The following is a 27,115-nucleotide window of genomic DNA, read 5'->3' as shown; positions in this document are numbered from 1 at the left end:
TCAGTCTGGGCAACAAGAGCGAAACTCTGTCTCAAAAACAACAACAACGAAAAATAAACTGTTGAGTACTATGATCAGTACCTGGGTGATGGGATCATTCATACCTCAAGCCTCAGCATCATGCCATCTACACAGGTAACAAACCTGCACATGTACCTCCTGAATCCAAAATAAAAGTTGCGGAGAAGGCCAGGCATGGTGGCTCATGCCTGTCATCCCAGCTGTTAGGGAGGCAGAGGCGGGAGGATAGCTTGAGCCCAGGAGTTTGAGACCTGCCTGGGCAATATAGCGAGATCCTGTTCTCCACAAAAAGGAAAAAAGAAAAGATTTTTTTAGAAGTGTAAAAGTTGGGAAAAAGGAAAGAAAAAAATCTTCCTGGCTGCCCATCCTGTTTTCTTTCTTTCACTACTCATCCTTTGGGGGTGAAGGTCCAGACAGCATGAGGACATAAACATATGACATTCCATAGATGTTTGGTGGCACTATTTCGTGTGACTACACTTCAAAAGCTTGTTTTCCCCAGCTGGGCCCCTGTTCTTCACTGTTTTGAGAATAAAAGATGGTGCCTTCATTACATCAAGTACCCAGGCTCCAAGGCCAACCAGGCACGCGGACTGGGCCTCCCTCCCAACAGTTGGTGGCCTTACTGAATGCCCTTTCAGCAGAGGGGAGCGTGGGCGGGGCTGGCAGAGCAGGCCCAGGGCACAGGGTTAGCCCTGATAACCTGAGATCAAAGCAGCCTGTCAGCAGTGTCAGCTGAGAGGCAGCCAAGACAAGCGATGCGGGCAGCTTCATCTCCCCGCTGGCCCTAGAGCAGGGGCGGGGAAAGCACCACAGTTCCCGGAAACTATTTCTGAACAGGCTGGAGGGAGCTCCTGGTGCCACTGCTCATTCCAAGCTGGCTCTGAGTCCGTCTCCAGCTCTCTCCTGCACCATGCGTGGTTTCCTCTCCCAGTTCCACTTTAGTTTTTTCCCACTCTTTCATCTACAATTTTCAATTTTTTAAAATTTATTTATTGATTTTTTTTTTTTTTTGAGAAAAGTTCACACTATTCACCCAGGCTGGTCTTGAACTCGTAGCCTCAAGCAATCTTCTAGCCTCAGCTTCCCAAAGTTCTGGGATTACAAGCATGAGCCACCGCACTGGGCTTTCCATTTTCATATAGACACATGCATACACACATAATTAAGATTTGTCTTCTCAGACCAGATGTGGTGGCTCATGCCTATAATCCCAGCACTTTGGGAGGCCGAGGCGGGCGGATCATCTGAGGTCAGGAGTTCGAGACCAGCTTGGCCAACATGGTGAAACCCCGTCTCTACTAAAAATACAAAAATTAGCCAAGCGTGGTGGCATGCACCTGTAATCCCAGCTACTCAGGAGGCTGAGTCAGGAGAATCATTTGAATGCGGGAGTCAGAGGTTGCAGTGATCTGAGTTCGCCCCACGCACTCCAGCCTGGATGACAAAGTGAGACTCTGTCTCAAAAAAAAAAAAAAAAAAAAAAAAAGGAATAAAAATAGATTTGTCTTCTCTTCCCTGAGACATTTCCCACTTTCAAAGTCTCTTAGTCTCTTTCTTTCTCACGGGTCCCATATGCAGGAGATGGCTACTGTCCTCTCTACCTCCCTGGCTAATACACACACAGCAGTCTCTCCTCCCAGTCTTCCCATTCTCATATTCACAGACACAGTTTTCTTCCAGCTTCCCTTACACACACGTGCACACACATGTGCACACACACACACACCTGCCCGGGTTACAGTCTCCAAACTCTCTTTTAAAAAAAGAATCCAGAGACAGCTGCCAATTAAAACAATAAAATCTCCTTGCCTTCCTTTCTGTTATTATGAACTCTGGGACCATTTCCACCAGCTGATGTCTGGATTTTTTTTTTTTCCTACAAGGTGTTGACCCTTTCATTTGCAGCTGGAATCAACAGCCACTGTTCCTCTCCAGCTGTGGCCCCTTTGTCAGCTGGGCAGCTCACAGCTGGCTGATTTTCATAGCCTAGCTACCTCAGCACTTTTGCAAAGAAAATGTGGGGGAAAGACCAGGTGCAGTGGCTCATGCCTATAATCCCAGCACTTTGGGAGGCTGAGACGGGCAGATCACTTGAGGTCAGGAGTTCGAGGCCAGCCTGGCCAACATAGTGAAACCCCATCTCTACTGAAAATACAAAAATTAGCTGGGCATGGTGGCGTGCGCCTGTAGTCTCAGCTACTCAGGAGGCTGAGGTGGGAGAATCCCTTGAACCTGAGAGGCAGAGGTTGCAGTGAGCTGAGATCACACCACTGCACTCTTGCCTGGGTGACAGAGACTCTATCTCAAAAAAGAAAAAAAAAGAGAAAAAGAAAAAAAGAGAGAAAGAAAATGGGAGGAAAGTTTGGAAATCTACCCTTCCAGTATATCATGAGAGATTCTAGAACCTTCCCCACACCCAAAGTTTGAATTATCTTCTCTCTCTACCCATGAACTCACACATGGTCTCTTCACTGTGTGTCCAGTTAGGTTGCAGGAAGAGAGAGGGAGAGGAGCATCCACATATCGCTACTTTCTGCTTTAGGCATCTGTAGGCCTCAGAACTTCATCTGTCATGCTGGCAGGGATGGTGGATGGGCAGGAGGGAGAGAAGGTGGCTCAGGGAGCCATGCCATTGCCGAGAGGCAAAGACAAGAAAAGAAGCATTTCGACCAGGCATGGTGGCTCACTCCTGTAATCCCAATACTTTGGGAGGCCGAGGCAGGTGGATCACTTGAAGCCAGGAGTTCGAGACCAGCCCGGACAACATGGTGAAACCCTGTCTTTACTAAAAATACAAAAATTAGCTGGGCGTGGTGGCGGGCACCTGTAATCCCAGCTACTCGGGAGGCTAAGGCACAGAATCACTTGAACCCCGGAGGCGGAGGTTGCAGGGAGCCAAGATGGCACCAATGCACTCCAGCCTGGGCGACAGACTGAGACTCTGTATCAAAAAAGAAAAGAAAAAGAGAATTTGGCTGGGCACAGTGGCTCACACCTATAATCCTACCACTTTGGGAGGCCGAGGCAGGCAGATCACTGAGTTCAGGAGTTCGAGACCAGCCCAGCCAACATGGTGAAACCTCATCTCTACTAAAAACACAAAAATTAGCTGGGTGTGGTGGCGCATTACTCTAGTCCCAACTACTCAGGAGCCTGAAAAGGGAGAATTGCTTGAACCAGGGAGGAAGAGGTTGCAATCAGCTGAGATTGTGCCACTGCACTCAAGCCTGGAAGACAGATTGAGACTCTATCTCAAAAAAAAAAAAAAAAAAGATGAAGAAGAAAAGGAGCATTTATTGAGCCCCTGCTGTGTGCTGCATGCTGTGTGTACCTACCTCCTAAATGCATTGGAAGCTGTCATTGAGAGGCAGTGGGCATGTGTGCACAGATCTTGGCTCACTGCAACCTCCGCCTCCTGGGTTCAGGTGACTCTCCTGACTCAGCCTCCCGAGTAGCTGGGATTACAGGCCTGTGCCACCAAACCCAGCTAATTTTTTCATATTTTTAGTAGAGACGGGGTTTCACCATGTTGGCCAGGCTGGTCTCGAACTCCTGACCTCAGGTGATCCACGCACCTCGGCCTCCCAAAGAGCTGAGATTACAGGTGTGAGCCACCAAACCGGGCTGAGTTCTTTCTTTCTTTCATCCTCTACATTGCTTGATGACTCTGAGCTTCATTTTCCATATATATATATATATGTTATATATATAACATATATATATATATATATATATATCACACATATATTTTTTAATAGAAATGGGATCTTGAACTCCTGGGCTCAAAAGATCCTCCCACCTCAGCTTCCCAAAATGCTGGGATTACAGGCATGAGCCACCGCCACACCTGGCCTCATTTTCCACATCTGAAAAAAAGGGGGATATTAAGTCAAACACTATGAAATGACAAGTTTTATAGGTCAAAAAATGGTCAGCTACATTGGCAATGGCATGTGCTGCAGCCAATTAGGACCAACATCACAGGGCTCTTGGGAGACTCAACTGGAAACAATACATGTGCAAGACACACATGCTAGCTGGAAGATTATAAGCACTTAGTACATATTACATATATTTATGACTACAAAAGCAATATTCAACAAAGACTGATACGGTGAGATGTTGTTGGACATACACCAAAGGCCTGTCCGTAAACATTGTGTTGGGGGAGATATGGCTTTGTTAGAGGAAACCAAAAAATGCCACTTTGGAAGGGACCCTGACAAGACATAGAGCTTAGCTGGAGAGTTCCTTGGTTAAAAAAAAAAAAAAGAAAAAAAGAAAAAATTTTCTTGACCTCGGCATTGAAAATTCTGATTCAGTATGTCTGAGATGGGGGCCCAAGAATATGCAAATTTTACTCTCTCCCAACCCAGAATTTTCTAGGATAAGTGAGCCCATTTCCAAAACAAGTTAATTGGAAGAATAAATAAATAAAGAGGAAGGAGAAACAGAAGAATAAAGAGAGAGTATATAGAAAATATAGAAATGTGGCCAGGCCTGGTGGCTCGTGCCTGTAATGTTAGCACTTTGGGAGGCCGAGGCCGGTGAATTGCTTGAGCCCAGGAGTTCAAGACCAGCCTGGGGAACATGGCGAATCCCCATCTCTATATTAATTAATTAAAGAAAACATAGAAATATAAAGAGTAGAGGCAATTTAAGAGATCCAACCAAAGGCAATGTGTGAAACTCATGTGGATCCTGATTTAAACAAAATAACTGTATATATATATATATATATATATATAGGAAAATTTGGACAACTACTAGATATTTGATATTTGATGATCTCATTATTAATTTCAAGTATAATAATGGGCCAGGCATGGTAGCTCACACCTGTAATCCCAGCACTTTGGGAGGCCAAGGCAGGCGGATCACTTGAGGTCAGGAGTTTGAGAACAGCTTGGCCAACATGGTGAAACGCCGTCGATACTAAAAATACAAAAAAATTAGCTGGGCGTGGTGGCGCACATCTGTAATCCCGGCTACTCGGGTGGCTGAGACACAAGAATCGCTTGAACCAGGGAGGTGGAGCTTGCAGTGAGTCGAGATCGTGCCACTGCACTCCGTCCAGCCTGGGCGACACAGCAAGGCTCTGTCTCAAAAATATAATAAATAAATAAATAAATAAAATAATGGTAATGTAATTTTGTTTTAAAAAAACTTTATATTTAAATCCGCATACTGAATTACTTGTGGATTAAATGATGCTATGCCTGGATTTTGCTTCAGAAGAACCTAGCAGAGGGAGAAAATTCAAGTTGGTGGAGGTATGAATATAACCAAATTGGCTCTGGGTGATGACTATTGAACATGGATGTTGGCATACGGTGGTTCATCTCACTATTCTCTTCGCTTTTGCATATGCTTGAAAATGTCTGTAGCAATCTCCCACCTGATTCTTAATCAGTTTTGGAGATCATTAAAGTGATCAACCCTCTTTGTACTAATGGGAGTACTGAGACCCAGAGAGGAGAAATGAATTGTCCAATACATTAAGGGCAGAACTGGGACCAGACCCCAGGATGTCTCTGCACTCACCCATTGACAAGCATTTCTGTTTTCTTTTCTTTTTTGCGGGGGAGACGGAGTCTTGCTCTGTCACCCAGGCTGGAAATCAGTGGCGTTATCTTGGCTCACTGCAACCTCTGCCTCCCGGGTTCAAGTGATTCTTCTGCCTCGGCCTCCTGATTAGCTAAGATTGCAGACGCACAGCACTACACTCGGCTAATTTTTGTATTTTTTGTAGAGAGGGGAGTTTCACCATGTTGGCTAGGCTGGTCTCGAACCCCTGACCTCAAGTGATCCGCCTGCCTCGGCCTCCCAAAGTGTTGAGATTACAGGTGTGAGCCACCATGCCCGGCCTCACTTCTGAGCCCTTACTCTGTGCCAGGCACTCTGCTAGCACCAGATAACATGAGGATAACATGGTTATCCTCAAGTGGAGAACTCAGCCATTTGGATCAATAACTGTAGAGTAACAAGGACAGTGATTCCTTGAGGAATCACTGATACTCAGTGAGAGACAGGGAGTCTCCCTATCTCTCAGCTCCGTGTCTCACATAGTTGACTTCACCCCATGCAAGCTCTCCTTTCATTGTTCTCAAAGACAATCCCAGAAACTCCAGGCTAATATCCTACCAATTTAGCAACCTCAGCCAAAAAAGTGCTCTAATTACTTAGAGTCCCGTTAAGAGTTCCAGGAATGAATTGCGTTGGCCTGGCTTAGATCACGTGGTCATCCATGAACCAATCACTTCGGCCAGGAGTCAGAATACTCTGATTGGCCAGATGGTCATGTGCCCATGGGCCTTGGAAATGGGGGTCAGCCTCTTGCCAATTTTATACACATAGCAGAGGAAGAGCATTTTTCAAAGGAGAAATTAGGGTAAGTCACACAAAAGGCGAACGCTGAGCAGGAAAAATTGTAGGTACCCACTATGTATGTCGGGCTGGGTCACGGAGGCATAGCACCACAGTTTAATGCACAGATCCGGGCCCTGTATCCCTGGGTTTGAACCTGCCCTCACCACATTTCCAGACCTTAGGCAAATGAGATTCTCACCAAACAACAATTTCCTCATCTGTAAAGTGTGTAGGAAACTAGGGTCAGCTCAGAGATTCACAAACATCAGAAAGAGTGCCAACAGAATAAAGCATCTATCACATAGAAGGTAGTAAGGACAGTAAATATTATTACTTTGAAAAATCTTAGTTCTCAGCCAGGTGAGGTGGCTCCTGCCCTGTAATGCCAGCACTTTGGGAGGCCAAGGCAGGGAGATCACCTGAGGTCAAGAGTTAGAGACCAGCCTGGCCAAAATGATGAAACCCCATCTCTACTAAAAATACAAAAATTAGCCAGGCGTAGTGGCCCATGACTAATTCCAGCTACTCAGGAGGCTGAGGCAGGAGAATTGCTTGAGCCCGGGAGGCCGAGGTTGCAGTTAGCAGAGATCTCACCACGGCAGTCCAGCCTGGGCAATACAGCAAGACTCCACCTCAAAAAAAAAAATCTTAGTTCTCAATGCCTATAAATATCCTAACTCCTATTTACCAAAGGGGCTTCTCTTATCTTTCTCTGCCCTCTTCCTCGTTTATTTGTTGCATTGTCTTTTTTCTTGCTTAGATTAAAGAAGCACACACACAGAGTCAACCTAATAATGGCACTCATAAAACAGAGGAGGGGACGAAGATCTGGGGAGTTCATCTATATTTAACTGTGAGCAATCAGAGGCTAGTGTAGTGGAAAACATGCAAAGGGCTTGCAGGAGGAAAGAGAATATTAAAATTGCAATTTTCCCAATCACATCGAGACGTCTCTTTGACAGAATGCATAGCACTTCTGTCAAAAACTGTGCTACATCTCCAAGCAAAAAGCAAATAAATTGAATTTCTGTTCAGTGACAGTGTGGGCTAAGGGTGCTGTCAGCTGTGTTTCAATTTTTTTTCTTTATTTTTTTCTCTTCACGGCATTCTTTTGTAGCTGTCTTTATGGAATTTGTTTCTGGTTTCCCCCCCAACCCCCCCCCGCCTTTTTTCTTTTTTTTTTTTAGACAAAGTCTTGCTCTGTCGCCTGGGTTGGAGTGCAGTGATGCAATCTCGACTCACTGCAACCTCCACCTCCTGGGTTCAAGCCATTCTCCTGCCTCAGCCTCCCGAGTAGCTGAGATTACAGGCACATGCCACCATACCTTATTAGTTTTTGTTTGTTTGTTTTTGTTTTTTTCTTTCGTATTTTCCGTAAAGACTCCTGACCTCAAGTGATCCACCCACCTCAGCCTCCCCAAGTGCCGGGATTACAGGCATGAGCCACCATGGCTGGTTTCCCCCTTTATTATTCCTCCTTCCGCAAAGGCTGGATCAGACCTCAGCCTGCATGTGCCATAAAGCTGCACTGTAAAGCTGCCAGTGACCCCACATAGGCTCCAGGATAAAGCATAAAATCTATTGATCAGTTTCCAACCTGGATGCTGATTTCTCCAGCAGAGCCCATGTCTACTCCCTTTTCAAATGGCCCGTGCTGGAGGCCAAGACTGGTTAGACAGGCCAGGCGTGGTGGCTCACACCTGTAATCCCAGCACTTTGGGAGGCCGAGGCAGGCGGATCACTTGAGATCCGCCTGCCTCGGCCTCCCAAAGTGCTGGTATTATAGGCGTGAGCCACCGCACGCAGCCTGAGGCTAGATGCTTTCAGTGGTTCTCTTTGATGCTCTATTTAGTAGGTGAGAAGAATTAAGACAATGAGATGTTGAAGGCTCCAGAACCTTCAACACTAGAAAGCCAGTGCCCTGGTCCAAACAAAAAGGTGCATGACCTTATATGAGACCCATGGCAGTGGAGTCAGGGGAGCAAGCTGGTTTCCAGGAGATGTTATTCTGTCTATAAGAGAGAAAAAATGCTTTCAGGGTCCCAAAGCTTATAGTTAATATGGAAGAACTACTGAATAATCTCCTGCCCTCTTGGGGATGGCATATTTATTTGTCAACATGTCCTCAAATGCCAGTTGATTGATGGTACAAGTTGCTAAGTTTGTTCCTTCAGTGGATTGTATCCAAACAGATTGTCCTAAGACTGAGAAGAGCAGGAACCAAAGGAGACTGCTTCGTGGGTAAATTCATGACCCTGGGATCAATTCACATCACTCTATCCAGATCACAAATGGGAGTATTCTACATGGACACCGACCTTCTTTCATGAGTAGGGTGATTGAACCATCCCAGTTTGCCTTGGATATTGAGTGTGCTAAAACAGGGAAAGTCGGCCAGGCACAATGTCTCCTGTCTGTAATCCCAGCACTTTGAGAGGCGTAGGTGGGCCTATCACTTGAGCTCAGGAGTTCCAGACCAGCCTGGGCAACATGATGAAACTCCATCTCTACTAAAAATACAAAATACTTAGCTGGGTGTGGTAGTGTTTGTCTGTAATCCTCTACTCTGGAGGCTGAGACGGAAGGATTACCTGAGCCTGGGAAGAGGCTGCAATGAGTCATGATTGTGCCACTGCACCCCAGCCTGGATGACAGAGGGAGACCCTGTCTCAAAACAAAAAAAGTAAAATTAAAACAAGGAAAGTCTCATGCAAACCGAGCTGGTCACCCTATCCATGAGCCCTACTTTGACCTCATGTTGCCATTTTGAATGATGTCCTTTTTATTTTATTTTATTTTATTTTATTTTATTTTATTTTATTTTATTATTTTTTGAGACAGGGTCTCACTCTCTTGCCCAGACTGGAGTGCAGTGGCGTGATCTTGGCTCACTGCAAGCTCTCCACCTCCTGGATTCAAGCAATTTTCCCACCTCAGCCTCCCGAGTAGCTGGGACTACAGGCATGTACCACCATGCCTGGCCTAATTTTTGTATAATTTTTTTTTTTTGAGACGGAGTTTCACTCTTGTTGCCAAGGCTGGAGTGCAATGGCACAATCTCAGCTCACAACCTCCGCCTCCCAAGTTCAAGCGATTCTCCTGCCTCAGCCTCCCGAGTAGCTGGGATTACAGGCGTGTGCCACCATGCCCGTCTAATTTTGTATTTTTAGTAGAGACAGGGTTTCACCATGTTGGTCAGGCTGGTCTCGAACTCCCGACCTCAGGTGATCCGCCCACCTTGGCCTCCCAAAGTGCTGGGATTACAGGCATGAGCCACCATGCCCAGCCTTGTATAATATTTTTAGTAGAGACGGGGTCTCATCATGTTGGCCAGCCCGCTCTCCAACTCCTGACCTCAGGTGATCCATCCATCTCGGCCTCCCAAAGTGCTGAGACTACGGGCATGAGCCACGACGCTTGGCCCAGATGATGTCCTTTTGGGGATTTTAGAAAATGAATTAGTGATTTGGGGTCAACTTTGTTGGGAGGAAAAGAAAATCAGCTTGCTGCATTACAACTATTCCATTCATCTTTTGCAATGGAAAGGGAATTGGTGTAGCCATAGTAGTTAAGATTACAGCCTCTGAAGCCAGAGGCAATGAATTTAAATCTTTGCTGTCCCAGGAATTTGAGATTGCAATGAACTATGATCACACCACTGCAATCCAGCCTGGTTGACAAGATTTTTTGCATTTGAAAAGAATCCTTCTGGCTGCGGGTTAGAGAATAGATTCTTGGTTTCAGAAGGAGGCCAGGCAGAGTATCTGATGCCTATAATCCCAGCACTTTGACAGGTTGAGGCAGGAGGTTCACCCAGGAGTTTGCAACCAGCCTGGGTAATTTAGGAAGACTCCATCTCTGAAAAAAGAAAAAAAAAAAAAAAAGCTGGGCGTGGTGGCACCCACCTATGGTCCCAGCTACTTGAGAGGCTGAGGTTAGAAGGATGGCTTGAGTCTTATCTTTTTCAGGCAAGCGATAATGTGGTGGTAGCCTTGTTTTGACCGTAGCTTAACCTCTTTATATACATTATCTCAGTTAACAACATCTTCAAGGTTTAGACAACTCCCTTCCCCTGGAGATAACCCATTCCTTCATAAGGAACGACCTGATTGTCATGCTTTCCTCTTAGATTCAACACGTTCAGTAACTTTGGTCCAATCTCCTCAGCTACGCATTTGCAGTGAGCCACCTTGTAAATGAACTGTATCAGCTAAGGTATCCTGTAGGGAGAATAATAACAGAAATTCCTCAAGGAGCTGCCTCCAGTGGGAAATTCCAATTGAGAGATTAAAAGCTCTAGGGAGCTTGTGATCCAGAGGACAGAGACTAGGGTGGGTTTTGATGAAAAGTTCTAATAATAACAGCTGATGGTTTTGAATGCCTCAGACAAGCCAGACACCGTGTTCAGCATTTTCAATGCATTTTCTTATATACAGGGAATGAATTACAATCATTCAGATTTTACAGAAAAGAGCAAAGATTGATTGATTGATTGATTTTTAGAGACAGCATCTTGCTCTGTCACCCAGGCTGGAATGCAGTGGCAGTGGCACAATCATAGCTCAATGCAGCCTCAATCTTCTGGACTGAAGTGATCCTCCCACCTCAGCCTCCCAAGTAGCTGTGACTACAGGTGTGAGCCATCACACCCGGATAATGTTTTTAGGTCTCACTATGTTGCCCAGACTGGTCTGGAGCTCCTGGCCTCAAGTGACCCACCCGCCTCGGCCTCACAAAGCACTGGGATTGCAAGCCTGAGCTTCACACCTGGTCTGTTTCTATCTTTTCAGCCAAGAGTCTATTCTCTAACCTGCTGCTAGAGAAATTTTTTTCAAAGGTAAGGTGGTGATTTTGATCATTCCAGATATATACATGTATGGAAGCATCACGTGGTGCCTCATAAACACATAAAATTATTACTTGTCAATCAAAAAAAAAGTTTAAGGCAGACAAAAACTAGAAACCACCCTGGTGTGCATCAACAGGAAAAAAGTTAAACAAACTGGTATATTCATATAAAGAAATGCTACTCCACAATAAAAAAGAAACTATTGATACAAGTTATAGCACAGGTGAATCTCAAATTATGCTGAATGAGAGAAAACTCTACACAAGCCTATGTACTGTATAAATCCACTCATCTAAAGCATTGGAAGAGACAAAACCAACATACCAATATGGCAGAAAAAATCAATAGTGGCAGATTGGAGGAGGGAGGGAGAAGTGATGACAATATTATCTATCTTGATAAGGATTTGGGATGCAGAAGCATGTGCATTTGCAAGTATTTAGAGAGTGATATCCTTAAGATTTGTGCATTTCAATGTGTGTAAATTTTCTCTTACAAAATATGAACAGATATTGAATTCTAGTTAATGATATGCAGACTGAAGTATTTGGGGATAAAGTAACTGATATCCGTAACTTAGTATTTTTGGTTTTGCTTGTGCTTTTGCTTTAGAGACCATGCATGCTGCTAAACCTGTGACTTACTTTGTAATGCACAAAACGAAAGATAAATTGATGGGCCGGGCGCAGTGGCTCACGCCTGTTCCCAGCACTTTGGGAGGCTGAGGCGGGTGGATCACCTGAGATCAGGAGTTCGAGACCAGCCTGACCAACATGGTGAAACCCCATCTCTACTTTAAAAAAATAAATAATTAGCTGGGTGTAGTGGTGCAGGCCTGTAATTCCAGCTACTTGGGAGGCTGAGGCAGAAGAATCGCTTGAAACTGGGAGGTGGAGGTTGCAGTGAGCCAAGATTGCACCATTGCACTCCAGCCTGGGCAACAGGAGTGACACTCTGTCTCAAAAATAATAAATAAATAAATAAATTGATGAATAATTGAGTAGATGTGTGATAAAGCAAATATAATGCAATGTTAAGTATAGAATCCATACAGATGTCATATAATTTTTCAACTTTTCTATATACTTGTAACTTTTTAAAATAAAATCTGGGGGGTGTTAAAGGGATAACTTATTGTTTAAAATAGCAAGAAGTGACATTATTCAGATGCAAAACCAAAGCTCTTAACAGTCCTCAAATTCTTCAGGATCTGGGCCTTCCTCCATCCCCAACTCTCTGGCCTGATTTCATGCCATCATTTGAATGTGTCATTTCCAATGGCGATTGAACCCTCTCAACCATCTTTTTTTTTTTTTTGGAGACAGGGTCTTGCTCTGTTGCCCAGGCTGTAGTGCAGTGGCACCATCACAGGTCACTGCAGCCTCAATCTTCCAGGCTCAAATGATCCTCCCACTTCAGCCTTCCAAGTAGCTGGGATCATATCTGGCTAATTTTTTTTTTTAATTTTTTGTAGAGATGGGGCCTATCTTGCCCAGGCTGGTCTCAAACTTCTGGGCTCAAGCAATTTGCCCACCTTGGCTTCCCAAAGTGCTGGGATTACAGGCATGGATCACTACACCTGAACCTCTCAACCACTTTACTTCCAGCTGTGGCAACTCCTTGCTTTTCTTCAAACACACCAAGCACATTCCAGCCTCAGGGCCCTTGCACTTGCTGTGTCTTCTACCCGGAATACTGTTCCGCCAGAGCCTGATTCCTTAACTTCTTCAGGTCTGTGCTCCAATATCACCTCCTCACTATGTACAGTAGCATTTCCTTTCTCCCATCACTTTATTCCTTTGCTTGCTTTAACTGTCATGTTTTATTTTTTATTTTTTAATTAATTTTTTTTTTGAGATGGAGTCTCACTCTGTCACCCATGCTGGAGGGTAATGGCGCAGTCTTGGCTCACTGCAACCTCCCCTCCTGGGTTCAAGCGATTCTCCTGCCTCCGCCTCCCAAGTAGCTAGGATTACAGGGGCTCATGACCATGCCTAGCTAATTTTTATATTTTTAGTAGAGATGGGGTTTCACCATGTTGGCCAGGCTGGTCTTGAACTCCTGACCTCAGGTAGTCTGCCCACCTCAGCCTCCCAAATTGCTGGGATTACAGGTGTGAGCCACCGCGCCCAGCCAAGTGTCATGTTTGATCACCGGCTGACACAATATTCATTTTGTTTGTTTGTTTGTTTTGTTTTGTTTTTTTGAGACGGAATCTCACTCCATCACCCAGGCTAGAGTGCAGTGGCTCAATCTTGGTTCACGGCAACCTCCGTCCCCCGGGTTCAAGCAATTCTCCCATCTCAGTCTCCCAAGTAGCTGGAACTACAGGCGCCTGCCACCATGCCCAGCTAATTTTTGTATTTTTAGTAGAGATGGGGTTTCACCTTCTTGGTCAGGCTGATCTCGAACTCCTGACCTCAGGTAATCCACCAGCCTCAGCCTCCCAAAGTGCTGGGATTACAGGCGTAAGCCACCACGCCCGGCCAATAGTCATTTGTTTATTGTCTGTCTCCTCTCACTGCAATGCAGGGATTTCACCTTGTTCCCTGTGGAATGCCAGCACCTAGAATGGCCCCTGGAAGACAGTGCACTCAATAAATACTTGTTTCATAAATACAGGGATGAATGGGTATGATGCTGACACTACCAACAGTAAAAGCTAATCTCAACTGAGAACTTGGTAAGTGCCTGGCACCATGCTAAGCGATTTACTTCCATTATCTCATTGAATCCTCCAACAAACCCATTACTATTTTTACAACTAAAAGATTTAGAAAACTTCTACAATTTAGAAAGATTAAGTGGTTTATCCCCAAACAAGTGTCAGAGCTGAGAGAGTCCAACCCAGTTTTGTTTTTGGCCATTCCAGAATCTTTCCACCTTGCTGTAGGGCAGGGAAGATAAATGTGTCAGCTTGTCACCAACATGCCCTAACTGCTGATATAAAGACCCAGATGCCTGTAGACTTGGGGGCATCAGACTCTCAGTCATCAAACTTCCTATGATACTTTGTGTCCCCCGTCCCCCAGACTACAAGGGTTAAATGGGCTGACCAACATTAATGGGCTATCAACTTCTTAATCAGCTCTTCTATTTCGGGGAGGGTGAGGCAGGAGGATTGCTTGAGGCCAGGAGTTCGAGACCAGCCTGGGCAACATAGCAAGACCTCATTTCTCAAAAACTTTTAAAAATTAGCTGGGCATGGTGATACGCACCTCTAGTCCCAGCTACTCGAGAGGCTGAGGTGGAAGGATGGCTTGAGCCAGGGAGTCGGAGGTTGCAGTGAGCCATGATCATGCCACTGCACTCCAGCCTGGGCAATAGAGCAACAGAGCAAGACCCGATCTATTAATAAAAAAGAAGTAAAAGAAGCAAATGCTAGTATTGTGAGGAACACAGTAGACCATGTATATAAAAGGATCTAACACAGTGAACAGGACCCAATAGGCCAGGGGGAATATGATAGTTCCATGTCCACTTCCCCAGCTTGTTTTCACAATGAAATCTTCGGGGTGGGTCGGGAGAGGGTGGTAAGGGATACATGTTGTTTCTTGTTCAAAACAACTTCTCCTTTTATTCAGATGCAAAACCAAAGCTCTTGGGTTGGGTGCTCACATTTGTAAACCCAGCACTTTGGGAGGCCAAGGCGGGAAGATTGGTTGAGCCCAGGAGAATTTTGTTCTTGTTTGTTTCTTGAGTCAAGGTCTGGCTCTGTTGCCCAGGCTGGAGTGCAGTGGTGCGATCTCGGCTCACTTCAACCTCCACCTCCCTGGCTCAAGCCATCCTTGCACCTCAGCCTCCTGAGCAGATGGCATTACAGGCGAGTGCCACCATGCCTAGCTAATTTTTGTATTTTTTTTTTTTTTAGTAGAGACAGGGTTTCTGCCATGTTGCCCAGGCTGGTCTCAAACTCCTGGCCTCAAGCAATCCTCCCACCTAGGCCTCCCAAAGTGCTGGGATTACAGGCATGAGCCGCCACTCCCGGCCAAGCCCAGGAGTTCAAGACCAGCCTGGACAACATATGAGACCCCATCTCTATAAAAACAAAACCAAAGCTCTTAACAGTTTAGTTCAACAGTCCTGCAGGATCTGGGCCTTCCCCCATCCCCAAGTCTATGGCCTCCTCATCTCATGCCATTATTTGAATGTGTCCTTTTCAATGGCAGTTGAATCCTTTCAACCACTCTACCTCCATCCCCTGTGGCCTCCTTGCTCTTCTTCAAACATACCAAGCATAGTCTGGCCTTCAAGGGCACCTTGTCTACTTCAAGGACACCCTGAGACACACTTGGGTAATTCTGACTTTCAGGCAATGTCAATCTAAATAACAAACAGGGACAAGCTCTCTAAAAGAAAAGATGTTTATTTGGGAGTAGAGCATTGCAATGGGAACGTGCATGCCATAGTAAACTATGTGTGCATTCAGAGAGGTAAAGGAAGACAAAGGTTTTTAAAGGACAAAAATGTGGAAGATTACATAATTGTTTTGAAATAATTATCCTTCGCTACAAAGATCAATAACAAGGGTGATGCCGGTCTGAAGTTGGACAGGCAGTTGCTGGGCAGATGTCCTTGCAAAAGTAATTTTTTTGTGTTAAGGTTGCAGTGGCCTTTGTGCAAGGCTGTGGTATTTGCAGTCTTTTGTGATGTTTTTGTTATCAGTCATCCAAGCTGGAGAACCCTCTGCATGTCCTTCCCTGGCTCTATTTGTCAGGGTTTTCTTAATATGAGTGACTCCATTTTGGGTTCTGACAATTTTCACAGCAAACTGGGCTAAGTGCTCTGCATTAGAAACCGATCACAGGCTATGTATTTCTCTCTTTGTCTACACATTACAGATAGGAAAGCTAAAGTTCAGAGAAAATAAGCAACTTGTCCAAGATTACAGTTTTTAAGTTGTAGGCATGGCCTGGTTCTTGTCTTGTTCCTCTCATGGTAGAGAGAGATAAATTCCAACTGAGGAAATCTAGAAAGGGTCCTTGGAGGACGTGATGATTTCCAGAGTCTATCATTGTGGCTTAAATATCTGTTTTCTGTAATACCACACTGGACATCCCACTAGGAGGCTGCAGCCTGAATTCTTTTATTTTTATTTTTTATATTTTTAATACATTTTTCAGATAAAAGAGACAGGGTCTCACTATGTTGCACAGGTTGGTCTGAAACTCCTGGGCTCAAGTGTTCCTCCCACCTCAGCCTCCCAAAGTGCTGGGATTACAGGCATGAGCCACCACACCCAACCAGCAGCCTGACTTCTATAACCCAGAGCTTTGCCACTTCCTTCTGGCTTTGACTTGAGCAAAAGTAGGCATCAGCAAGAGTCCTCTCTTCTGAGCACAAATTAAACCCTCAGTTTCACAAGGAACTCTGCCCAATACCACCTACCCTAATTTTCCTAACATTCCTCTCGCCTAATGTTCTCACATATAAAGAGATTTGAAAAAGACCCTGTTCAAAGACTCTGAGAGCTCCCTTCCACCGGTTGGTTATATCAGACCTACTTTTTGTCACTTGGTTAAAAAAAAGAGGGGGGGTTGGGAGGGACCACAAATACAAAGATATCCTTAGGATGGATGAACCACCATGCTGCCCTTTAAAATATGTATGTTCTGTATATTTACAATTATTTGTTCTGGAGGGATTTCTTCTCTTCCTTCCACATCTCCTAGCTGTGTATACAATAAAAAGGATGGGGCTGGACGTGTAAGACTTTTTTTTTTTTTTTTTTAACTCTGCTGTGTTTATCCACCCAAGCAAGTATTTTAAGTACTTTGTTTCCATTATGCTATTCTGAGCCCATTACTTGGTAGGGTGATTAAAGATTGCTTTTGGCAAGAGAAGAGAAGACAATATGTTTGTTACTTCCATGACTGTTAGCCTTTCCCAGGCAGTCTTCAAAGGGAAAAACATGAACACATGGCATACAAAATACATACTGGCTTCGTAGTGAGAGCCCTGGAGAACGTCTGGCCCTTCACCTTTGCCTGAAATCTGAGCAGCTAGGACAGGAGGCGTGACAAGGGTTCTTTCTAGGGCATCTTGGAGACCGCCCACCTCTCGGGGCTCCTCTGTCTCCCTCCTTGCTTGTGTGTTCATGAATTCTTTCCCTCGGTTGGGGTCTTCTCGGGAACTTCCCTACTTTTCCACCAATATTTGGATGCAGTCATGGACAAGACAGATGAGCTCTCTACTTTCTTTTATTGTTATTATTATTTTGCAAAAAAAATAAATTGTTATTATTATTTTGCAAAAAAAAATAAAGACAGGGGTCTCACTATGTAGCCCAGGCTGGCCTCGAACTCCTGGGCTCTAGCAATCCACCCACCTCGGCCTCCCAAAGTGCTCAGATTACAGGCATGAGCCACCATGCCCGGCCGAGCTCTCTACTTTCACGGAGGTTAAAGTCTGGTGCAGTGCAGAGACATTAATAAAAGAATCACACGCCCGGGCATAGTGGCTCACGTCTGTAATTCCAGCACTTTGGGAGGCTGAGGCGGATGGGTCACCTGAGGTCAGGAGTTCGAGACCAGCCTGGCCAACATGGTAAAACCCCATCTCTACTGAAAATACAAACATTAGCTGGGCATGGTGGCATGTGCCTGTAGTCCCAGCTACTTGGGAGGCTGAGGCAGGAGAAATCATTTGAACCTAGGAAGCGGAGGTTGCAGTGAGCCAAGATAACACCACTGTACTCCAGCCTGGGCAACAGGGAGACTCCGTCTCCAAAAAAAAAAAAAAAAAAAAAAACCAAACCAAAAAAAATGGGAGTGGAGAGAGGAGAGACTATTCAAAGGGAAAGAAGGTGGGGTAACCTAGACCCACAGAACAAGGGCAAGAGTAGCAGGAGATGTAAACAGGGGTCAGAGAGGTCAAGGGAACCTATAGTATACACACATTATAGGTGATAAATATTATTTAGTTAAACTAGGAGTGGAAGGAGGAATCTATTCATTGTGGAATAGAAGCCAATCCCTGCTTTCTTTTCTTTTTTTTTTTTTTTTTGAGATGGAGTCTCCCTCTGTCACCCAGGCTGGAGTGCAGTGGCGCAATCTCGGCTCACTGCAAGCTCCGCCTCCTGGGTTCACGCCATTCTCCTGCCTCAGCCTCCTGAGTAGCTGGGACTACAGGCGCCTGCCACCACACCTGGCTAATTTTTTGTATTTTTAGTAGAGATGGGGTTTCACCGTGTTAACCAGGATGTTCTCGATCTCCTGACCTCGTGATCTGCCCACGTTGGCCTGCTTTCTTATCTTAACAGCTGGGTGGCCTTTGGGCAAGACATTTAACAGCTCTAAACCTCCATTTCCTCATCTGTCAAATGGGAATTTGTAAGTCCCACTTTACAGGATTTGTGGTGCATAGTGGGAGCACATTAAGTGTTAGCTTCCTTCTTTGTTCCCAATTGTCTTTGATGAGTTTGACTTTTCTCTCTCTTTTTTTTTTTTTTTTTTTTAATTTGAGACAGAGTTTTTCTCTTGTTGCCCAGGCTGGAGTGCAATGGCATGATCTCGGCTCACCGCAACCTCTGCCTCCCCGGCTCAAGCGATTCTCCTGCCTCAGCCTCCCTAGTAGCTGGGATTACAGGCGCCCACCACCACACCCGGCTAATTTTTTTGTATTTTTAGTAGAGACGGGGTTTCCCCATGTTAGTCAGGCTGGTCTCAAACTCCTGACCTCAGGTTATGTGCCCGCCTCAGCCTCCCAAAGTGCTGGGATTACAGGCGTGAGCCACCGCGCCCGCCCTGAATTTGACTTTTCTTGTTTCATTTAGCATCTTGGGAGACCCGCAGGAAGCCAAAAATAAACAAATAAATAAAATCCATCACTGTATTTGCTTATATGCTTGCTCGCTTATTTGAATAAATGCCCAAGACCTGTCCCTCTGGCCTGGGGGCCTAATTCCTTGCAAGGTTGTTGTAATCCCTCATCCTCCATCCCTCAGATTGGATGGAGTCTCCTTGAAGTCAAGCAGCTGATCTCTCCCCAGGGTCTTGGGAACATTAGCATCTCCCTGGCCTATCTTCCAGACTATTGTGACAAGCAGATGAGATAAACGGTGTGTAAGGCTCACAAGCCAAAGATTCCCGTTCCCCTCCCTGGGCTGGAAAAAAATCTGCACTGATCTAGACAGAGTGACAAGTTGCACAAATGCATTTTCCCTGGATGCTCTCCTTTCAGTCAAGGGCCCCTTGGATTCAAAATGGCATCTGCAAGTTCAGGCATGTCCAGACTGCTTAAAATGTCTAGGAGTCTTTCTCTTCTGGAGCCAAGTGGGCAACTTCAGAAACTCCACCCACTTACGTGGAGTGAAGGCAGTGACTGGTGCAGCCCACGTGCTTCCTTTGCACCAAGGTCTCTTGAGTGTGGGCGCCATGCTTGGTTGTTTTATATACCTCTCTTTGTTTCATTGTCTCCACAATCCTGTGAGAGAGGGAATGGCCTTCCCATTTTTACAGAGATCAACTGAGGGATTCAGTAACCAGCCTAAAGTCTCCATCTTGACAGGGAAGAACAGAATTCCTGGGTCACTCTTCAATGGTGTCTTGATGACCAGTTAGCTCTCCCGCTTCCTTCCCCGAAATTAGATTACCTGGGTCCCAGGGAAGCACTCTGGAAATTCTCAGGTCTGATGGAGGCCTCAAGGTGGGGTTTCCTGCTTCAAATGCTGGATTTGGATTTCTGGAGACTCCAGGCTAGTTAACTAACATCTGCCTTAACTCCAGCCCTCTTTCCATCACTCTGCTACCCCCACTTTAGTTCTAGAAGGTGTAATGACAATAATCATCATAATTGGCACAATTTATTAAGCACCTGCCAAGCACTAGGCATAGAGCTAAGTAACATGTATTTTCTCATTTAAAGAAGTTAGGAATCCTACAAAATGACTATTATCATCCCCATTCTACAGATGAGAAAACTGAGGCTCAGAAAGTTAAGAAGTCTTCACTCAAGGTTTCAAATAAGTAAATGGCAGAGCCAAATCTAAAATTTGGTCTGGCTGACCCCAGGCTCTCAACCACCTGCTCACTGCCTGGTTTTCTGGTTCTACATTTTTACAAAGGTCTCTGCTCAAAAAGATTGTATCAAACCAAGCACAGTAGTGTGTACCTGTGGCCCCAGCTACTCAGGAGGCTAAGGTGGGAGGATTGCTTGAGCCCAGGAGTTTGAGGCTGAAGTGAGCTATGATCGTGTCACTATACTCCAGCATGGGAGACAGAAAAAGACCCCATCCCTTTAAAAAAAAAAAAAAAAAGGAAAGAGAGGAAGAGTGAAGCAAGCAAGCAAGCAAGACAGAAACAAAGAAAGAGAGAAGGGAGGGAGGGAAAAGAGAGAAGAAAAAGAGAAAAAGAGAAAAAAGAAAGAAAAGGAAAGAAAGGAGAAAGAGAAAGAAAAAGAAAGAGAAAAAGAGAAAGAAAGAAAGGAAGAAAGAAAGAGAAAGAAAGAAAGAAAGAAAGGAAAGAAGGAAGGGAGGGAGGGAAGGAAGGAAGGAAGGAAGGGAGAAAAACTGCACCAAAGTCCAGTAAAATCCTGCCCTTCCAAACTCTGAGGACTAGCCCAGGCTTCTGTGGTTCTTCCACCTCCACCTCAGGGCCTCAGTTTCCCCATTTGTGGAACAGGGAACTGGACCAGATGAGCTCCGAGGTCCAGCTCAAACTCTGCCAACTGCACACCAACATGAAAACAGCCCCTTGTCCTCAGCCCTGTCCCTGACCTGTATCCTTCCTACGATCTTTCTCTCCTCATACGGAAAATGGGTGAGAGCCTCAACAATTCACTGTTTCACTCCCTGACTTCAAAAAGGGAGAGCAAAGTGTTGAAAGTCACAGCTGAGCTCCTTTTGTCCTCACAGTAATGCAGTCTGGGCTTCTCCTTCAGGCTACTCTCATTCTGGGAGCCTAACTTGGCATGTTCCCTCTGGAATTCTCCCTCATTTGACTAGCAGGAGAGTCTAGTTCCCTAAGGTTGGAATCAAGGACATGCCTTGCAGGCATTTAGCCCCACCTTGATGGTGATCTTCAAGAACTATGTCTTTTTTCTAAATCATCCAAATCATCATTATCAACGTTGTCCTTTAAACAAGGACCCCAAATTCTTTACCCAGAGGGCGTCTTCATTTGTGAAGGAATAATTCAGCACAGGTCTTCAGGCCCATATTCACAATTCCAACAGCCCAGAACTCTGGAAAGTGGCAGTTATTTCCATAATGAATTTACTGGCAAAACCTGACCTCCTTTGAACTTACTTTTTAATTAAAAAATAAAAACTGGCCTGTAATTCCAGCACTTTGGGAGGCCGAGGCAGGCAGATCACGAGGTCAGGATCAAGACCATCCTGGCTAACACGATGAAACCCCGTCTCTACTAAAAATACAAAAAATTAGCTGGGCGTAGTGGCGGGAGCCTGTAGTTCCAGCTACTCGGGAGGCTGAGGCAGGAGAATGGCGTGAACCCGGGAGGCGGGGCTTGCAGTGAGCCGAGATCGCGCCACTGCACTCCATCCTGGGCGACACAGCCAGACTCTGTCTCAAAAAATAAATAAATAAATAAAAATAAAAATTGGCCAGGCGCAGTAGCTCACACCTGTAATCCTAACACTTTGGGAGGTCCAAGGCAGATGGATCACTTGAGGTCATGAGTTCAAGACCAGCCTGGGCAACATGGTGAAACCCTGTCTCTACTAAAAATAGAAAACTTCGCCAGGCATAGTGGTGCGCACCTGTAATCCCAGCTACTCGGGAAGCTGAGGCAAAAGAATCGCTTGCATCTGGGAGGTGTATGTTCCAGTGAGCTGAGATTGTGCCACTGCACTCTAGCCTGGGTGACAGAGTGAGACCCTGTCTCAAAAATAAATAAATAAATAAATAAATAAATAAATATGCATATATGTATGACGTACAACAAGATGTTTTAGAAAAGTCTTTTGTTTTGTTTTGTTTGGGGGGTTTTGTTGTTTTGAGACAGGGTCTTGCTCTGTTGCCCAGGCTGGAGCACAGCGGCACCCTCATGGCTCACTGTTGCCTCGACCTCCCAGGCTTAAGTGATCCTCCCGCTTCAGCCTCCCAGGTGGCTGGGACTACAGGCACCTACCACCACATCCAGCATTTTTTTTTTTTAAGAGATGGTATCTGGCTATATTGCCCGGGCTGGTCTCAAACTACTGGGCTAGAGCAGTCCTCCCCCTCAGCCTCCCAAAGTGCTGAGATTACAGGCATGAGCCATTGTGCCCAGCCAGAACCATGTCTTTAAAGCCAGAGAGAGCTAGGTTTGAGTCCCAGTTCTGCCATCACTATCTGCATTTTCTTTGTCCCTATGGAAGACACTTATGGATTCAACACTTATGAAGGTCCTACTATGTGCTGGGAGCTGCGTTATGGGGCACAGTGCTAAACAGAGAAATGGTGTTCCCGCCCTCCTGGAGCCTCCTTCCTCATTGGAAGAGCTGGGAGAGTGGAGGCAGATGGCAGGCAAATTCATAGGAGATTTTCAGAGGTAAATAAGACACAGTAAAGGAAATGGTGAGGGACAGGAACACCTTCTTTGTACGGAGAGGACATCTGAGGAGAGACTTGGTCATGGAGTCCATCCTAGGAAGGGCTCAGGAGAGACCACCAGGCAGAGGGAAGAGCAAAGGTGCCTTCTCCACTTAAAGATCAGAACCAGGTGCTGTGTGGCTGCAGGGGCGTGAACTAGAGGCTTTGTAGGACACAGATCAAAGTTTGGATTTATAATTAAAATTTTAGAAAAATTTAAAAAGAAAAAAAGAAAACGTTTGGATTTTATTTGAATGCCATGTGAGGCCACTGGAGGATTTTAAAAGCTGTTTTCATTTTTTTAATTACAAAAGCAAACTGTTGGAAGAAACTGACAAACGTTCTCCAACACTGGCGATCTAATTTTGCATTCCCACCAGCAGAGTTGGAACATTCCAGTTGCTCCCCATTTTCCTCAACACTTGGAATGACCAGTCTTTAATTTCAGCCATCGCTGTGGTATCACATTATGAGTGGTACCACATTGTGGTTTTAATTTTTATTTTCCTGATGATTCATGATGTAGTTATTTTTTAAGGTGCTTTTTGACTATTCACATAGCTCCTTCTGTGAAGTGTCTTGAAAATCCCTTTGCCTATTTATTTATTTATTCATTCTTAAGATGGAGTCTTGCTCTGTCGTCAGGCTGGAGTGCAGTGGCACAATTTCGGCTCACTGCAACCTCTGCCTCCCGGGTTCAAGTGATTCTCCTGCCTCAGCCTCTGGAGTAGCTAATTTTTCTATTTTTAGTAGAGACAGGGTTTCACCACGTTGACCTGGATGGTCTCGATCTCGACCTCGTGATTTACCCACCTCAGCCTCCCAAAGTGCTGGGATTACAGGCATGAGTCACCGTGCCCGGCCTTATTTATTTATTTTTATTTTATTTTATTTTATTTTTTGAGACAGGATCTCGCTCTGCACCCAGGCTGGAATGCAGTGGTGTGATCTCAGCTCACTGCATCCTTGACCACCTAGACTCGAGTGATTGCCCCACTTCAGCTTCCTGCGTAGCTGGGACCTCAGGTGTACGCCACCACACTCATCTAATTTTTCAGTTTTGTAAAGACAGGGTTTTACCATATTGCCCAGGCTGGTCTCAAAGTCCTGGGCTCAAGCAGTCCTCCCAAGTGAACCATCAGATGTGGTGGCTCACGCCTGTAATCCCAGCCTTGGCCTCCAAAAGAGCTGGATTACAGACATGAGCCACCAGACCCGGCCGCCCACCCCCATTTTTTTTTTTTAAGACAGTCTTGTTCTGTTGCCCAGGCTGGAGTGCAGAGCCATGGGTTCAAGTGATTCCTCTACCTGAGCCTCACAAGTAGCTAGGATGACAGGCATGGGCCATCACACTCAGCCAATTTTTGTATTTTTAGTAGAGATGGGGTTTTGCCATGATGGCCAGGCTGGTCTCGAACTCCTGGGCTCAAGTGATCCACTCACCTGGGCTTCCCAAAGTGCTGGGATTACAGGCGTGAGCCACGGCACCCAGCCAGCCCCCATTTTTTAATTGTGTCATTTATCTTCCGATTAGTCACTTACAGATGTTCTTTTAATATTCTGATACATATCCTCTGTCAAATATGATTTACAAATTATGTCTCCTGGACTATGACTTGCCTTTTCATTTTCTTAACAGGGTCTCTCAAAATACAGAAGTCTTACATCTTGATAAAGTCATTTATTTTTATTTTGTGGTTTATGCTTTTCTTATACCAACTAAGAAATCTTCTCCAGTCCAAGGTCACAAAGATTTTCTAGTGTATTTTCTTCTAGAAGTTTATTGTTTTAGCTCTTAAATTGCTTATATTGGGGTAAAAAGTCAAACACTTACCATACATCTCGGTAATTTCAGTGTTAAATATCTACCCAGGAAAAAAAAAAATCATATGTCCACAAAAAGGCTTACAATTTTTTTTTTTTTTTTTTTTAATTAGAGACAGGGTCTCGGCCAGGTGCAATGGCTCACGCCTGTAATCCCAGCACTTTGGGAAGCCGAGGCAGGCGGATCACGAGGTCAGGAGTTCGAGACCATCCTGGCTAACATGGTGAAACCCCATCTCTACTAAAAGTACAAAAAATTAGCCGGGCATGGTGGTGGGCGCCTGTAGTCCCAGCTACTTGGGAGGCTGAGGCAGGAGAACAGCGTGAACCCAGGAGGTGGAGCTTGCAGTGAGCCGAGATCGCGCCACTGCACTCCAGTCTGGGGGAGAGTACGAGACTCCGTCTCAAAAAAAAAAAAAAAGAGAGAGAGGGTCTCACTCTGCAGTGAGCTGTGATTGCACCACTTCACTCCACACTGCATTACCTAATGTGCAGTGGCGTAATCACAGCTCACAGTAGCCTTGAAATTCTAGGCTCAGGTGATCCTCCCACCTCAGCCTCCCGAGTAGCTGGGACTACCAGCGCACAACAAAAATGAAGTGTTTTCATTTTATGGTAGAGATGGGATCTCGCTATGTTGTTCAGGCTGGCCTCAAGCGATTCTTCTGCCTCGGCCTCCCAAAGTGCTGGGAGTATAGACATGGCCACCAAGACTGGTCAGGACTTAAACTTGTATGCTCCTACCAGCATTATTCATAAGAGGAAAGAAGTGGAAATAAGTGTCCATCCACAGGTCAATGACTATACTGTAGTACTCTCCTATAATGGAGGGCTATGCATCAATAAAAAGCAACCATTGATCTCTGCAACAACATGAAAGCTGAGCTCAAAAACATGATGCTGAACAACACAAAAAATGCCAGATAAAGAGAAGTTTATACTGGGCAATTTCATTTCTATGAAAGGATAGAAATGATTGCACTCATCTACGGTGACGAAAGGCAGATCAATGGTCGCCAGAAGCCTGAGGGAATGGGTGGGTGTGGGCAGGTAGCTGGGGAGCGTGGAGGGGGAATTTTAGGGAGTGAAGAAGAATGTTCTACATCTTGATTGTGTTGGTGGTTACACAACACTATGTTTTGATAAACATTTTATCATCGGGTAGGATTTGATAAGCATTTTATCAAAATTTATTGAACTCTACACTCAAAATTGGTGTGTTTTATTTTATGTAAGTTATATTTCTCCATAAAGTGGAATTAAAAAAATAATAAAACAGATGGTGGGGAAGAATGGGTGCAGGGTGAGGACAGAGAGGAGAGTTAGGCCTCAGGATCATCCGGGTGGAGGACGAGGGGAGGTCGGTCCAGGGAAACAACAGGGAATGGTAATTACTGTTGTTGTTTTTCTGCCTTGTCCTCCCCTTGAGCCAGGAACAGGCTCTCATTTGTAGCTGCACTGACCATTTCCCCCACCCCACAGCCTGCCTTCTTCTCTACTGAGTCATCTCTCAAGGTTATCGTAGGGAACAAAGGCTTTGACTTACGCTGGACATCTCCAAGGGCTGACGCACATGCTCAGGAAACCATGTCACCGACCAAGGTGACGCGGAGAAATCCTGTGATGCCACCCCCAGGCTCCCAAGCCCTCTGTCCTCTCACCCAGCCGCCGTCTCTCCTTTCCAAACTGTCTCCTAGAGCCTAGGTCCAGAGCAGTGAGGATAGCTGATAAAATCTGAGAGCGAGACACCTTCTTAGCGACTGTGTTTGTTTCCCATGGTTGCCAAAAGGAAGTATAGCAAATTCGCAAATCGGGTGACTTAAAACAAGAGAAATGTGTTCTCTTGTGATTCTGGAGTTCAGAAGTCAGAAATCAAGGTGTTCACTGGGTTGGTTTCTTTTTTGAGGCTCTGAGGGAGAATCTGTTCCTTGCTCCCCTCTTGGGTTCTGGTGATTAGTGGCAATCCTTGGAATTCTTCAGCTTTGTAGATGAGAACGACTCCAATCTCTGCCTCTGTCTTCACATGGTGTTCTCTCTGTGTACCTCTGCGTCCATTTCTCTTTTCTTATAAGAATGCTGGTGCCGCACGCTGTGGCTCACGCCTGTAATTCCAGCACTTTGGGAGGCTGAGGTGGGCAGATCACTTGAGGTCAAGAGTTGGATACCAGCCTGGCCAACATGGCGAAACCTGGTCTCTAATACAAACACAAAAATTAGCCAGGTGTGGGCCGGGTGTGGTGGCTCATGCCTGTAATCCCAGCACTTTGGGAGGCCGAGGTGGGCAGATCACGAGGTCAGGGGTTTGAGACCAGCCTGACCAACATGGTGAAACCCCGTCTCTACTAAAAATACAAAAATTAGCTGGGCAGGGTGACAGGCACCTGTAATCCCAGCTACTCAGGAGGCTGAGGCAGGAGAATTGCTTGAACCCGGGAGGCGGAGGTTGCAGTGAGCCGAGATCATACCACTGCACTCCAGCCTGGGTGACAGAGCGAGATTCCGTCTCAAAAAAAAAA

The 27,115-nt window shown here is 45.5% G+C and overlaps 3 annotated features.

Annotated features, from left to right (window-relative positions):
* Window positions 203-703: an enhancer, noted in NCBI's record as "H3K4me1 hESC enhancer chr12:115237631-115238131 (GRCh37/hg19 assembly coordinates)". NCBI's record gives its function as "activates a minimal SCP1, AML or CMV promoter by ChIP-STARR-seq in naive and primed H9 embryonic stem cells {active_cell/tissue: H9 hESC(naive and primed)}" and the evidence as "EXISTENCE:reporter gene assay evidence [ECO:0000049][PMID:30033119]".
* Window positions 704-1,204: an enhancer, noted in NCBI's record as "H3K4me1 hESC enhancer chr12:115237130-115237630 (GRCh37/hg19 assembly coordinates)". NCBI's record gives its function as "activates a minimal SCP1, AML or CMV promoter by ChIP-STARR-seq in naive H9 embryonic stem cells {active_cell/tissue: H9 hESC(naive)}" and the evidence as "EXISTENCE:reporter gene assay evidence [ECO:0000049][PMID:30033119]".
* Window positions 14,592-15,091: an enhancer, noted in NCBI's record as "H3K4me1 hESC enhancer chr12:115223243-115223742 (GRCh37/hg19 assembly coordinates)". NCBI's record gives its function as "activates a minimal SCP1, AML or CMV promoter by ChIP-STARR-seq in naive H9 embryonic stem cells {active_cell/tissue: H9 hESC(naive)}" and the evidence as "EXISTENCE:reporter gene assay evidence [ECO:0000049][PMID:30033119]".

The sequence above is a fragment of the Homo sapiens genome, chromosome 12, assembly GCF_000001405.40.
Source record: "Homo sapiens chromosome 12, GRCh38.p14 Primary Assembly".
Taxonomy (NCBI): domain Eukaryota; kingdom Metazoa; phylum Chordata; class Mammalia; order Primates; family Hominidae; genus Homo; species Homo sapiens.
Note: the sequence above shows the minus strand (reverse complement) of the source record. Positions and strands in the feature narration are given on the sequence as shown.